The sequence below is a fragment of the Homo sapiens genome, chromosome 4 (genome assembly GCF_000001405.40).
Source record: "Homo sapiens chromosome 4, GRCh38.p14 Primary Assembly".
In the NCBI taxonomy this organism is placed as follows: domain Eukaryota; kingdom Metazoa; phylum Chordata; class Mammalia; order Primates; family Hominidae; genus Homo; species Homo sapiens.
Window position 1 is genome coordinate 109117341 of NC_000004.12, and position 17058 is coordinate 109134398.

Below are 17058 nucleotides of genomic sequence, written 5' to 3' on the forward strand. Positions count from 1 at the left end.
AAGAAAGTAGAGGGAAATATTTAAAGTGTTGAGGGAAAAAGGACCATCAAAATAGATTCTGTACTCTGTGAAATTATTCTTCATAAATAAAGAAGAATCAAAACTTTCTCAAACAAAAATTGAGAGAATTTGCTGCCAGTGGAACCACCTTGCAATAAATATTAGAAGTTCTTCAGACAGGAGAAAAAATATTAGGTCAGAAACTCAAATCTCCACAACCAAAGTGCATCAGGGAATGACTAAGTGAAAGTAAAATGGAAACTGTTATTTCCCTTATTCTTAGTTGGTCTAACAAATGCTACTTTATTCAAAATAATAGCAACAATGTATTCAGTTATGTGTGCTCATGTGTATTATATATATGCTTATATATACTTATGCATAAGAGAAATGACAGCAATGATACAAGAGATGGAAGAAAGACATTAGGAATATTAGAAATATTTTGATATTATAAGTTATTTGCACTATCTGTGAAGTGGTGTAGTGTATTTAGAAAGTGGACTCAGATTACTTGTAAAGTGTATTGCAAACTCTGGAGCAACTACTTAAAACCAGTGTTTTTAAAAAGATAAAAATAAAAAAGAAGTATAACTGATGTGCTAAAAAAGGAAGAAAATGGAATGATATAAAATGCTCAATTAAAACCAAAAAGGCAGAAAAAAATGTAGAATATAAAATAGAAACAAAAGAACAAGGACAACAAACAAAAAACAGTACCAAATATGGTATAATCACTTTAAACATCAGTGGTCGAAATACAGCAATTAAAATACAGAAATTATCAGAGTAAATAAAAAACAATAATTGATACACTTTGTCTCCAAGAAATCCAATTAAAATATAAAGACATATAGACTAAAAGTATTAATAGAGAAAGGGGAGATGTTGATCAAAGGGTACAATGTTTCAGTTAGACTTGAATGAGTTTTAGTGATCTATTGCACTGCATAGTGACCCCAGTTAATAATAATATATTGTATATTTCAAAATTGTTAAAATAATGCATTTTAAACATTCGCACCACAAAAAAAGATAACACACGTGAGGTGATGGGTATGTTAATTACCCTGATTTACTCTTTCTACAACATATACATGTAACACTACATCACGTTGTACTTCATAAATATATATAATTATTACTTGTCAATTAAAAATATAAGCAAATAAAGTAAAAATAAAGGTTTTGAGAAAGATGTACCACGGGAACACTAATCAAAAGAAAGCTGGAGTAACTATATTAATCTTAGACAGAGCAGTCTTCAGAGAAAGAAAAGTTATCAGGAATAGAGTTTTACATAATAATAATAAAGGGGTTAACATTTCAAGAAGACGAAACAAGTCTTAATGTGTATGTGCCCAACAAAAGGGCATCAAATTATGTAAGCCAAAAACTGATAGAATTGCAAGAAGAAATATATTAATCCATTATTACAGTTGGACACTTACACCCCTCTGTCAGAAATGGACAGATCCACCACACAGAAAATCGATGAACTCAACAGACCCATCAATCAACTGGGGGTATAAGTGACATATATGGACTACTTCATCAACCAACAGCAGACTACACATTCTTCTCAATTTCACATGAAACATTCACCAAGATACCCCACATTTTTGGACTAAAACATGCCTTAACAAACTTAAAAGAATAGAAAGTATAAAATGTTTGCTGGCAGATAACAATGGAATGAAACTGGAAATCAAAAACAGCTAAAACATCCCAAAATACTTAGAGATTAAACAATATACTTCTAAATAACACATAGGTCAAAGAAGAACTCTCAAGAGAACTGTTTAAATATTTTGAACTAAATGAAAATAAAAATAGACCTTACCAAAATTTGTGGAATGTAGTGAAAGCAGTGCTTAGAGGAAAATTTATAGCATTGGATGCACGTATTAGAAAAGAAGAAATATCTAAAATTAATAATCTAAGCTTCCACATTAGGAAACTAAAAAAGAACAAATTAAATCCAGAATAAGCAGAATAAAAGAAATAATAAAAGAGCAGAAAGTAAAGAAATAAGAAATTAATAGAGAAAATCGGCAAAACTCAAAACTGGTTCTTTGGAAAAAATCAATAAAATTGATAAGCCTCTAGAGAACACACAAATTGCTGATAAAGGATATGAGAGTAGGAATATCACTACAGATCCCATGGACATTACAAGGATAACAAAAGAATACTATGAACAGCTCTATGCCCATAGATTAAATAAATCAACTCCTTGAAACACACAAACTGCCCAAACTCACTTACACAGATCTGAGTACGCCTATTAATGAATGAATAATTAACACTCTTCCAAAACAGCACCAAACCAAGATAGCTTGAGTGAATTCTACCAAACATTTAAAAAGAGAAAGTATATCAATTCTCTAAAAAGCTCTACAAGAAGATAGAAACAGAGGAAGTACTTCCTAACTTATTCTACAGGGCCAGCATTATCCTAACACCAAAACCAGTTAAAGTCATCAGAAGAAAAGAAAGCCTATCAATCAATATCTCTCATAAACACAGATGCAAAAATCTTCAACAAAATACTAGCAAATAAAATTCAACAATGTATAAAAATAATGATACACCAAAACCAACTAGAAGTTATCCCCAGTATGCAAGGCTGGCTCCATATTTAAAAATTCATTAAGGCAATCCATCACAGCACAAGGCTAAAAAAGAAAAATCACATGGTCTGCATCTATAGATTCAGAAAAACCATGTGACAAAATGCAACACCCATTAATGATAAAAACTCTCAGCAAATTAATACAGAAGAGCCTCTACCGGATAAAGAACATTGACAAAAACCTACAGCAAACATCATACTTAAGAGTGAGAAACTCAAAGCTTTCCAGTTTAGATCAGGAACAAGGCAAGATGTCTCTTCTCACCACTGCTTTTCAACATTGTATTGGAAGTCTAGCTAATGTAATAAGACAAGAAGAGGAAATTAAAAGGTATACAGGTTGGGAAGGAAAAAATAAAACTGCCTCTTTTTTTGTAGATGATATGATTGCCTATGGAGAAAATTGGAAAAATAAACAAAAAACAACTCTCTCAGATTTAATAAGCAATTATAACAAGATTTCAGGATAAAAGGTTAATATGCAAAAGTCAATTGCTTTTTTATATTCCAACAATAAGTAAGAAGAATTTGAAATTGAAAACACATTACCAAGCCAGGTGTGGTGGCTCATACCTGTAATCCCAGCATTTTGGGAGGCCAAGGCTAGTGGATTGCTTGAGCCCAGGAGTTTGAGACCAGCCTGGGAAACACGGCAAAACTCCATCTTTACAAAAAATGCAAAAATTAGCTTGGTGTGGTGGCATGCACCTGTTGTCTCAGCTACTTAAGAGGCTGAGGTGGAAGGATCAATTGAGCCAGAGGGTGGAAGCTACAGTGAGCTGTGATTGTGCCACTGTCCTCCAGCATGGGCAACAGAGTGAGACTCTGTCTCAACAAAAGAAAAAAAAAAAAATTCAAAAACAATTATTATTTACATTAGCACCCAAAACAATAAAATACTTAGATATAAATCTAAAAAAAATGTGCAAGATCTATATGAGGAAAACTACAAAACTCTGATGAAAGATATCAAAGAAGAACCAAATAAATGGAGAGACATTCCATATTCATGGACAGGAATATTCAATATTATCAAGACATCAATTTTTCCCATCTTAATCTATAGATTCAATGCAATCCCAATCAAAATCCCAGCAAGTTACTTTGTGGATGTCAACAAACTGATTCTAAGGTTGATATAGAGTGGCAAAAGATCCAGAATAACTAACTCAATACTGAAGAACAAATTTGAAGGACTAACAAAAGTATAAAACTCCTATGTGATAACACAGGAGAAATCATAGATAAACTTGGATTTTGTGATGACATTTTAGATAAAACCCCAAAGTGACAAACTATGAAAAATATAACTGGACCTCATTAAAATTAAAATCTACTCTGTGAAAAACAATGTAAAGAGAATGAGAAGACAGACTGGGAGAAAATATTTGCAAGAAGCATCTGATAAAGGGTGATTATCTCAAATATACAAAGAACTCCTAAAACTCAACTATAAGAAAACTAACAACCTAATTAAAAAGCGGACAAAAGATCTAAAAAGGTAGCTCACCAAAGAAAATAAACAGATGACAACTAAACATATGAAAATTTCAGTGGCATATGTCATTAGGAATTGTAAATTAAAACAACAATAAGATATTACTATACACCTATTAGAATGACCAAAATCTAAAACCCTGACAACACCAAATGATGGCAAAGATGTGGAGCAGAAGGGACTCTCATTCATTGCTTGTGGGAATGCCAAATGATACAGCCACTTTGGAAGAAAGTTTGGCAGTTTCTTACAAAATGAAACATACTCTTACCACATGATTCAGCAATAATGCTCCTTGATATTTACCGAAAGGAACCAAAAACTTATATCCACACAAAAATCTTCACTCAAATGTTTAAAACAGCATTATTCATAATTGCCAAAACTTGTAAATAATCAAGATGTCCTTCAATAGGTGAAAGGATAAACTGTGATACATCCAGACAATGGAATATCATATCATTCAGGCTAAAAAGAGATGAGCTATCAAGCCATGAACAGACATGGATGAAACTTAGATGCATACTAATAAGTGAATGAAACCAACCTGGAAAGGCGACATATTATATGATTCCAGCTATATGATATTCTGAAAAAGGCAAAACTATGGAGACAGCAAAAAGATTAGTAGCTGCCAAGGGTTAGAGGAGAGGGAGGGATGAACAGTCTGAGCACAGAGGATTTTAGGATGGTGAAACTGTTCTGTAGGATACTACAGTGTTGGCTACCTGACATTATACATTTGCTCAAACCCACAGAATGTCCAGTGCCAAGAGGGAACCCTAATGTAAACTATGGACTCCGGGTGATAATGATGTGTCAGAGTCAGCTTATTGATTGTAATGAAGGTACCACTATGGCATGGGATGTTGATAGCACAGGAAGGTGAAGGGTGGGCAGGTACATGGGAATTCTCTGCGCTTTCCACTCAGTTTTGCTATAAACCTAAAACTACTCTAAAAATTTAAGTTTATTAGAAGGAAGGAAGTGAGGGGAATCGAGGGGAGAAGAAGGGAAGTCTGTCATAAATTTGGCAGCAAAAGTAGATAGAATGTGAGTTATGCCCAAGATGCCCACAAAGAAAGTGCTATAGGAATTAGGAAAGGAAGACATTACTTATATGTTGTAACATGTAAGTTATACCTTATAGCAACTTTGATTATGGGACTGTGATGAATTCCCAATGAACTTTCTAGGGGAAACAAGTCATAATTCTAATGGAAGGACATTTGGAGCTGTGAATGTTATCAAGGACAGAAAGACACATGTAAGCATGGTTTTTGGATATAACCAAAAGTATATTTGACAGTAAATCTACTAAGCAATAACTTTCCAGGAAAATATGGAACCATGAACATAGAGAAATATACTTATTGAGTTATTCACACACTTTGACAGTCCTCAGAAATAAGCCAATGCCAAGGAATGACCGTAGAGCAGACAAGTATAAAGACAATCAAGACTTGTGGGGGACTGTGCTGTTCAGCACTAATCATGCCAGATGACATAGCTAGTTATCTGCAGTTTGCTTATTTAATAAAAGAAGCTAAAATGTAACTATTGCGGACCCACAAAAGCTATGCAAGGAGAATCAAATATCCTGCAAATTAATCCCACTATTTAAGGGATTTGAAATTTCTTCCCAAAGATATCTATTTGATACCTTTCAAGTGTAGGGCAGAATATTCACATAAATAGCTGAGTTGTGGGGTATTTATCAAATTTTCTCTGACAACAAGAACTTTAATAAGGATGTCTTCCCTCCCCAATAAATGAACAAACAGCAGCCATAAAAATAAGGATCCAATGCCAGTGATACTAGAGTGACTGCCTAAAAAAAAAACAGGTTGTTTTTCCTTTAAATATAATCTATAAACTTTTGCTTACTGAAACAAAATCATATCATTCTATTAAATATGTCCTCCTAAATGAAACCTTATTTTAATTATTTTCACAATCTGATCTATAGTAAGCCTAGCCCATATTAATAATGTGAGCTAAAGGGATAAATAAATAAATAAGTTGATATGATTAAGTTCTGGCAAAAATAGAGTTTAGGTAAATTAATAACTACATGGAAATACAAACCATAAAGTAAACTGAACTTCTCCCTAACAAAATATGTATGGAGTAATATGCTTATATTTGAACCAAAGATTAAGAAGTACAGCATTTCACAATTACAAAGAAATAATATTCTATTGATAATGCTGGAATTGAAAAATGAAATTATTTCCACATTAACATAAAGAATCATGATATATATGCAATTATTCTAAGGTGTTCAATGAGGTCAGATGTTGCTGTTGGACATAGGCCTCGGTTCTACAGCCATCACGGATTATTCCTCCCTCTTTAGGATTTCTCCTTCATCTTGAAACCCCTGTATCTCCCTGATCCTGATTTGTGTGCCTCTGACACACAAATGGAAACAAACAAGGTAAGTTTATACAAGTTGAGAAACAGATACATAAAATCTACATGCTACTTCAACCTATTTTGCCCAGTCCCAAACTTTTCACTAATGACTTTACATTAAAAGTTCAGAGTATGTTTCATTCACAAAAAAATATTTCACAAAATGTAAAACTAGAAATACATAAGGAAAAACTCTACTTTCTATTATTTTACTATTCTGTTTCAGGCACTGACATTGACTTTAAAATTTGTAAAATCAGCATTTTACTTCATGCAAATGGTATTTTTGACAATCCCTGCTCCTTATATTTCTTTAATTTTATGCAGTAAGATGGTTATTCAGCTTTCCTCTCCCATGTATTTTTCAGCATTTTATTCTGACTTAAATTCAAGGTTTTAATTAACGTCCTAAAATGTAATTTTAAGTTATCCTATGCAATTATGTGGGCAAATTACTCAGAGAAGGCTAGACATTATTAGCTATAATCACCTTCTAAAATAAAAGTTTAAAATATATGATTTTGTGAAATTTTCCATTCTGGCTACAACCTCTCCTTACTAATACACAAAATTTTAATTTTATTTTTCTAGTCTAACTACAAAAGAATGTCACATAAAAAACATCAGCTCACAAAGACTGAAGAATTAAAATTTTTTTTCCAGCTTCTAATCTTTCATTGCTAGTAGAGAATGGTTATCATGCCTTTAAAATAAATGTGTGTATTTAATTAAACTTAATTAAATAATTAAGTTTTCCCTCTACAGCAGATGTCCAACAATAAATGCAAAATGCTCCATCTCTCACCTTAAATTGTCCTAATTCCTAGAAAGATTTCTACCCAAAATCAAATGAGCAAAACAAAGAATTATATAGCCAAATAATACAGTTCTACTAATTCATTCTTAAAAAAATCACACATTTACCTTTCTTCTTTGGGTAGAAAAACATATAGCAAGATATAAAAATATATGTATATATTATCTCCCCCTTAACTTAAACTAGGAATTTGTCAATGAATATATTTAACTGTGTTTGATACTGACCAAATGTCCTGAAAGCTTGAAATAATCTATTTGTCATGGTAACTTAATATTACAGAATTTAAAAACAGAAAACAAAGCAAAACCCCCCCACACTTTTCGCCTAGAATAACAACAACAAAGGTAAGCAGAAGTGTCTTAAGATTTTATTCCACCTAAAAAGACTCTATTTTCTGATAGAATCTATGTCTACAGACAGGAAACTGAGTTATCAAAGGGATGTATAAAGTTAAACTCTATCTATTACTACAATGTGTATGTGGAGAGAAGGCAGGTAGTAGATGGCTATCCCTTAAGGAACTAATCCTGATGGTATTACCTCACAAATGATGACAAGGACTTTTTGGAAGGCAGTTGCTGCAATCTAGGTAGTTCCTTCAATATGCAAATTTATCCCTAGTGACAGGGCAAATAGCCTTCTCAGGAAGTAACACTTCTAAATTACAGGAACTGTGTGCTAAATACAGCTGGCAGGGTGCTGAACACCCGATTTCTTTCAATGAGTATATTTTCATGCTCACACTGAACCAGCTCTGAATGAATCTTCAAAAAGTGAGACTAAAACAGGCAACTTTAATACATCTTCTTAAACCAAGTATTTCTAGAATACAAACTGTCAACATTTCTTCGCTTCATTTCTCTACAAAATTATTCCTAAGGTTTCTGTGCCCGTGGTCACTGGCTGAGAAGAACTAGCAGTTGATGGAACAGTTATTTTAACATCATTATTATTGTTGTAATGGTGATCAATTTTCAACACATGGAATCTATGGCCTATTGCCACTGAAGAACAAACTGGATACTGGCACAACTCCTGTAGGAAAGAGGTAACAGTTGCCCCACACTGGAAGCCCGAGGGAGCTGATCAGATACAAACACAGAAAGAAAGAGTGACATGATTTCAACATCAAGTAAACACAAACATTGCCATTTTTCTTGAATGATTATTAAATAAGCAATATTTGGGGACCTTAAAAAATACTATCTACTAACCGTTACCTTTGTTGTTCTGAAGGAAACTAAAAGGTGGGAAGAGATATACATAATAACTCCAATTCATATTACTAAGCCACAAAGCTTTTTACTCCTTCACCAAGTTCTGTAATTATTTCCTATGTGCTTTGCTGTGCCGTAATATTTTTTGTAGGAAGAAAACATGTATGTAAGAAAATTTTATTATTTTGCTACTTGAAATGGAAAGAGGTTTTTTTTAAATCCCCAATGTTTTTCTAATCCTCACGGTAAAAAAGAAAAGTAAAGCATGCAAATGAAAAACATACTTTCTTGATAAATGTTGACATTTTTTTCTAAAAAGACAAACGTAGTCATCAGAGATTATTAACTTACTTTATTTTGTATATAACTTCTTTTAAATCGAGACTTTCAAGGAATAAGAATGTATTTGCAAACAATGTGAATAAAATCTAAATCCAACTCTGAAAACAAGAAGGTAGAACAAAGCTTCCAAACCTGGTCTGCTTTGACTTGAGATCAAGAACTTGGGAAAATTTCATTACCATATCACCATGTCACATACTGACAGTAAAAACAAAACACAGTGATATTAGGATATAATATAAATTTAAAACATTGCACATTTAAATAATGTTCTAAAGTTATAACAGCTCTTCTTATTTTAAGGACAAAAGAAGCCAGATTATAACAGATACTACAAGCTTACACAATGTCTATTGTATTTATTCCAAATATTAGATAACCTGATAATTTTCATTTTGAAAAGCTTTGAGATACCACCTCTCGAGAAACTTCTCTCTTCACTTCTTCACTTCCCTTTTACATTCTTATTTTCCCAACTTATGTTTTCCCCAACTTTATGTTTTATATTAGATAACCTGATAGCTTTTCATTTTGAAGACCTACGAGTTAATGGGTGCAGCACACCAGCATGGCACATGTATACATATGTAACTAACCGGCACATTGTGCACATGTACCCTAAAACTTAAAGTATAATAATAAAATTAAAAAAAAAAAGAAACGTCTCTCTTTACTTCTTCACTTCCCTTTTACATTCTTATTTTCCTAACTTATGTTTTTCATTCAGTGAAATAACAGATGGGAACAATAACAGAAATGGAGAAAGAGATAAAAGCTTCAGAAGAGTGAATAAGAATTACTCATAATCACATGGCTCAAGGATGTTAGTTTTAAAAAGCTTAAAGAATTATTCATAATCTGATAGAATATTACACTGGCACAGTATATTATTTCTTGGCAATAAAATATTCCAAAGTGTTTTGATACATTTGAGTATGAGGACCATGCCTTCATTCCTTAGTGTGTGCTACTTTAATTAAACATCTATAAGGCGTAATAGAACTTCAGCACTGCTTGGTCATAATTTGGTCCATTATTCTTTCCAATACTCAAGGAAGAGATTAATTATCAATGTATAAGTAAATTCTAGTTGCAACAGTATGCAACAGTATGCCAAAGTAGAAAAATCATTGATTTTTGATTCATATATGTGAAGCACATAAACACAGCTCTAGTGGTTATTAGTTGGGTGTCCTCAGACAAGTTACTTTCTTTTATTTATTTATTTTTATTTTTAAATAGATACAGGGTCTCTCTATGTTGCCCAGGCTGGTCTCAAACTCCTGGGATCAAGCAATCTTCCCACCTTAGCTTCCCAAAGTGCTAGGATTACAAGTGTGAGCCACCGCGCCTGGCCAAACAAGTTACTTTCTGAGCTTTAGATTCCACGTTAGTAAAGGAGAAAAAAAAGAAGAAAAACCAAACTCGAGGGGCTAAGTGGGCTAAAAATCAGTTGGTACTTAGTAGGCCGTAAACGTTAGCTGATTTCCTTGGCGTGAGACAACGAACCTCGGGTAGTTACCCCAGACAAGGACGCTGCTTTGCGAGTAGAAAAAAGAGGAGGCACAGCAATGCTCACAGTTAATGTATCATTCAGCTTAAGTGATTTTTAAATCTTGCATAAAATAAACTTAAATAGAACCTAAATTTTCAAAACTAATGAGAAATGACAGAGTTATTCTTTCCTATTGAGGCAGAGCAGGGACGCTCTTTTTAGGGCCCTGCAGTCTCCTGAGCATGGAAATAAAGGAAAACCTTGAGTTCCTTCAAGGGAAATTCCAAGCACCTAGCTGGGGCTGAGAAGTAAATAAGCAGCTTGATAAGCAAGAAGGTAACAGTAGCCTAAAACAATAGCCAAGGAAGTTAGAGTCAGGAGATGTTTGGTTCCTTTGTAGAAACTAAAACTAACAGCGTATGTCCCTGAGTTGTTTTTCAGAAACCCAAACCCCCACCAAACAGATCTGCTGGCACATAGACCTTAGATAAGAGGAAGCTGAGGACTAAACTCTGGCCACCATTCCTTGTTCAAAATTTCTTCCAGAGGAGCCTGGAAGAGGTGATGCTCATGAGCCAGAGCTAACATTCTTTTCTGCCAATCTCAAATTTTTAGACAAAGCTTTGCTTCCCAAACCTATCACAAATCAGAAAATCTTTCAATCCACCTATGACCTGTGGGTCCCTGCTTCGAGCTCTTCCTCCTTTTTAGGTCAAACCAATGTAGCCTCCATGTATTGATTTATGACTTTGTCTATAACTTCCTTCCTGAAATTTACTCCTGCCTTTAAAAACTCTTACCTGCAAGACATCAGGGAGTTCGGGTCTTAAGCATGAGCTGCCCAGACTGTCCTTGTTTGGTGCCCTGCAAATAAACACCTTCCTTTTCTGTGTATCCCAGAGTAGGACAGTCACTTGACACTAATGTAAGACTAAAACAGGGGCCCATGGTATACTGGAAGAAACCTTGCAATGGTGACTTCAGGGAATTTTCTGCTATCTAATCACCAAAGTCTCCTTTGGATAAGAGAGCATTAGATAAGCAAATCAGAGAAGCTGGTATCTAAGGTTCCTTCTGGCTTGTCTGACCACTGACCAGTATTACTTGTAGAACTCAAGCTATGGTATGAAGCACGTTGTGTTATAACAATATGTGAAACTGGGAACAGAAAAAGTCAGGAATTTCTGAACTGAAGAGATTTTAAAACACAGATTCGCAGGCTGGAAAGTCTGATTCAACGTGTCTAAGGAGAGCCTGGATGTGAGCATTTTATGAAAGCTCTTCAGGTGATCCTGATGTACAACCAGGCTTGGGAATCAGTGAAATAATTCATGCTTTTACTTAGTTGGACCTTATTTTGTCAAATAATTTTTTTTTTTTTGAGACAGAGTTTCACTCTTGTTGCCCAGGCTGGAGTGCAATGGTGTGATCTTGGCTCACCGTAACCTCCACCTTCCAGGTTCAAGCGATTCTCCTGCCTCAGCCTCCCGAGTAGGTGGGATTACAGGCCTGCACCATCATGCCCGGCTAATTTTGTATTTTTAGTAGAGACGGGGTTTCTCCATATTGGTCAGGCTGGTCTCGAACTCCTGACCTCAGGAGATCCGCCCACCTGAGCCTCCCAAAGTGCTGGGATTACAGGCATGAGCCACTGCGCCCAGCCCTTGTCAAATAATTTCTATAATTTTTCTGTAGTTTTTCACTTGAATCCCAATCATTGTGCTCAAATCTAACATATATTATAAAGTAATATAATTTTCTTCAAAAGTAATAAAAATACTCGAAAGAGATACCGCAAAAATGTTTAGAGTGGACAATTTATGAATAACATAGGCAAAATATGAATTAAGTGATGACTATATGGTGTGATAAAACTGAAACCTGGGCCAGGCTAGTCTTTGATTTGTAAAATTTGTCCTATTCCTTCGACAGATGTTAAATGTTATCTTTCTGGCAACCAATGTGGCACCCATACCATATTTTCATTCCTGCTGGACTGTCATAGTAAACTAAGAAGTTATAGATTGTATAGATTTGGCCAAGTTTAATAAGCCCTTGAAGGAAAGTCTCTAAGTTGTCTCTCTCTCTTGCAAAGTTGTTTAAGATTAAAAGAATTGGGAGATATACCTAATGCTAGATGACGAGTTAGTGGGTGCAGCGCACCAGCATGGCACATGTATACATATGTGACTAACCTGCACAATGTGCACATGTACCCTAAAACTTAAAGTATAATTAAAAAAAAAAAAAAAAGAATAAAAGAATTGTGGATTTTTGAGGTGAGATAACAGATGAAAATTCCTTGGCTTAACAAAGCAATTAGTAATTTATTAAATCCATCTTTCCACAGAATATACATACATACATATATATATGTTAATTAATAAAATCCCTCTAGACTGTGGAGACTAAAATAGGCCATACTGATGAGGATGATTAAAGTCAAATCAACAGAAGAGTTTAAATTTCTGCTTCCACTAGTGTTTATTTGCATAATATTATATAGTGCTCTACATTATAACAGACAGTAAATGTTCACACAAAAGATATACAGCCTCTACTTTCAAAATACTCAAAATTTAGTTGTGAATGTATACACATTAAAGAATTATAAATAGTAATAGAAGGTAGCACATAAATAGATGTCCCAAAGAATGGCACTGAAAAAAAATAACGTAAGAATTCAGCTAGAAAGATAGGAATATAGAATGGAGCGATCAAGGATGATTTCCAGGAGATAGAAATCGTTCTGAATCATCAAAGATGAATATTTTTATCAGTAAAAAGGGGAAGGAGTGAAGCAAACTAGAAAATAAGCTTGAACAAAATCATAGAAATGAGCAGCAAATGAGTATGTTGGGACCAAGCAAACAAGTAAAGAGAAAAAAATCTGGCTTTTAGTTGATGGTCTTGATTTAGAGGAACCATGAGCAAAAGCATGGGTAGTTTCAATGGGTCAATATCTGGCAAGAAAGAGGGACCTAAAAAACTAATCTGAAATATTTGTACTTTATCCTACATGCCACTGGTCATTAAACTCTTTTGATCATGTAACCCTTTCATTTTCGAACCTGCATTAAAAATACATATTTATTTATATTGCATATTACTAAACCATTTGTTTATAATTCATATACCAAAACAGAAAATTTAAAGGAATGATAGAAAGAAGAAATGAAAAATAATTTTAAATATCTTGCTAATCATGATAGTTTTATACCATCATTACTTAATATCTCAAGGTTCAGCATAACGATAAATGAAACAATATTTCAAACACTCTTTTGGCTAATTTCAAATAATTTCACAATAAGATATGGTTAGACAATCATGATTAGCCTTATATGACAAAGAACTCTAAAGAGAAGGTAAAAATAATTTTAAAATCTCATCAGTAATGTTTTTGTTGGTTGCTTATTGAAAAGATAATATTTTGGAAACATTGGCTTAATAAAAGTACTATTAAATTTAATGTATTTAATTTACTTTTAAAGTACTATTAAATTTAATTTTACGGATTTCTTTTTACTTTTAAAAGTGTGACTATTAGAGAATTTAAAATTACATATGTGGTTCGCATTGTATTTCCATTGGACAGTATTGCCCTCTATACTGATGTGGCAGAAATGTAACGGATGATGGAACGCAAGATAATTCTGAATATTGTTTTAAACATACTGCTGTACTCACTGCCTTACTCAATCAGATCATCTTTGGTAGGATATGTATTTTGTTATTTAACACCACATATTTCATAGCTATTCAGTGGGAATATACAAGGAAAATACGGTGAGGGGGAGTTCATGATCAGGTTACAGGGAGATGAAAGCTGTGTGATCAAGATATCACCAACCAACCAGAGCAGTAAAATCTTCCCTCTCATATCTCATTATCCAGATGCAACCTATATTCAGGAGAGCAGGAGTGTGACGTTCACAAAAAGGCAGGGCAGCACATGCTGAGGCTGGGCCATCATAGGCGCAAGTCCTCCTCACCTCCCCATTCACCAGGAACCCAGATGGTGCCCCTGAACAGTGGCAGTGCATTGTGAGAAACCCCGCAGTGCCAAGAAGGATAAGCATGCGCTGTTGCTGGACGATGTCAGCACACTCACCACTGATACCATCTAATGGATGTCGGGAGGCAGAGTGATCCTCAGCTCTCTCTTCATACTACCAGGGACTCAAACAGAAAGGAGCACCATTCTTTGCTAGAGATAAGGGCCCCTCAGTAACTTCATCCTAACTAGACTTGGAGAGTCATGGTATTGAGAAGTGCCAATGAGGTTTTAAAATGAAAAATATTAGGTTTGAAAAAGCAAAAAGAATTGGGCAGAGATAGTCACAAATGCATCAGTAAGAGTGTCACAGAGAGAGGGAATGCTTGGTGCCTACCCAACAAAGCCTCATGGAGGAAAAGCCATTAGACTTTAAATAGTCTACAGTCTAGATCTTTACAATATATATAATACACACACACATGCATACACACACATAAATTTACATGGTTTGTTTTTACTTTCTTTTGTTTATTATGATAATTTCACTCCCAGATTCTTAAGAAAAGTTTTCAAAGAGGCTGCTTCCCATACGCTTTCTAGAACTTACTTTCCTTGAACCCAATACTAACAGATCAGCTATTATTGAGAGATATAAAATAAGGGCCTTATCTCAGATTTGCTTTTATTCACTTTAATCCTGACAATATATAAGAGAATTTTAAATAAAAATTTCAAAAGGCTATTTCGTAATTTGATTCTGTAAACCACATTTTAAATGGATTCTATTCTATCCAAAAAAATACATTAAATAATCATAGAATCAATTTAAGTAAAAGGAGAAATTTTGATTAGCTATTAAGAAAACAAATTAAATTATAATATGAGCTTTGACATATTGGAATGTGTTTTCTGGGTTATGCATTATCCTTTTCTGAAGGTAAGAAAGTAGTAAGTAATGACATAGATTTTTTATTTTCAGGAGATAAAAGATTGGAAAGAATAATTTTCAAAGACACTTCTAATAATACAATTCTGTAAACCTTCTAGATTTCCATATTACTTTGTGGAAATATGTTCTGCTTTGATTTTTCTACTTGCAAATACTGAATGGCAGTATTAGAACTGTGAGGATTAATTCACAGTGATATAATGTGGCACAAAAATAGGAGTATTAGACTTATGTATTCATTTAAATTTTTCATAATGAAATATTTGATTTGTGGACCTGACTTTTTCCTCCTGAAAATAACTATATTCATTCTTGTTTAGAGAAAAAGTTTCAATATAGAATTCATTTATAATATTAATTAGAACACCATCTACTACGTTAGACTGCAGTTATGGATCTGTTACTAGGTCTATTGTACACTGGTTTTCAGATAGAATATAATTATTTTCTTACTTGACATAACATTTAGAATGAAATATCTATAAGGAAACATATTTAACAATTTTAGTTTAAGTATTGAAGAAAGAATATATTTTGTAGTTATGATATTAAAGTAAGGTTTACTGCTATGACCCAAGTAATAGAAATAACATTTTATGAAAACACTAGACCTTATTGTAATATTATTTTTTACTATTATCTGATATTGTCTAATATTTATCACTATGACCTATAGGGTCATTGTTGGGTTATTTTCCCCAAAACTCTACCTAATAAGTACCTGCCCATTAAGACATTGAAGGAAAAAAATATCCACAGTACAAATTAAGAAAACAACAAGCAGAGATTCAGTTGTTCACCAAGAAAGGGCCAAATTTGCTCAGTGTTTGTTAGGAAAGTCTTCTCTCCTTATCAAAATATTCTTGTAAATATCAATAGTTATTATGTTAATATGTATTAGCAGTAGAATGTAAGATATATAGCAGCAGGAATTTAAGAACTTAAATTATTACTGCAACACTCTGTGTGCAGAATGGTGACTGGCACAAAGTAGGCACTCAAAAAATATTTTAAAGTAAAAGAATGGATAATTGCTTAAGTCTATTAAGTCTCCTTTTTCTTTGACATTTATGAACATATAGAAACACTCTATTAAACATTGGAAATAAAGATGAATAAAATGTTAGGCATAACCTCAAAAAACCCTCAGTCTATTAGGAGAGATAGAAAAGAACAGATAATAAAACTGAAATATGGCAAGTATACTGATTGAGATTTTCACAAAATTCTATGTAAACGCATTGAACACATCCTGGAAGAACTACAGGGAGAGGGATGGGAGTCAGGAAATGTTTCTTGAAAGAAATTAGTATTAAATGATGAAAAACAGCCAGATAAGAATCAAAGAAAATACCTCAGACAGAGGGAAGCATGAAGATGAGAAAAAAAACGGTGTGTTCAAAAATGACGAGTTCCACATGGCTGTGGATTAGATGAAAGGCAGAGTTAGAAAGGAAGACAGGGGCCAGATTATAGGAGGTTTTTTTTTTTTTCTTATAGGTAATGAGGAGTCTTTAAGAGTCGTAAGTAGGAGATGATAGGTTTTTATAGTAGATAATTGCTCTGGCAACTATGTAGAAGATAGATTAGACAGAAGGTGGAATGGTGTTCTAGGAGTCAAGGAGAAAATTGATAAGGGCTTGAACTAATACAGTAGCATCTGCAAGGAAAGGAGCATCTGATT

General features: G+C 33.7%; 1 protein-coding gene across 10 annotated transcripts in view, besides 1 other annotated feature; it reads right to left on the bottom strand.

Moving 5' to 3' along the window:
• COL25A1 (collagen type XXV alpha 1 chain) overlaps positions 1-17058 on the bottom strand; it is a 493934-nt gene that overhangs the window by 308616 nt on the left and 168260 nt on the right. The gene's annotated exons all lie outside the window — the stretch shown is intronic.
• Positions 7271-7440: an enhancer, noted in NCBI's record as "experimental_71618 CRE fragment used in MPRA reporter constructs". NCBI's record gives its function as "activates a minimal promoter by MPRAs in K562 erythroleukemia cells, with activity observed for both the introgressed and non-introgressed 4:110045852 variant alleles {active_cell/tissue: K562}" and the evidence as "EXISTENCE:reporter gene assay evidence [ECO:0000049][PMID:34662402]".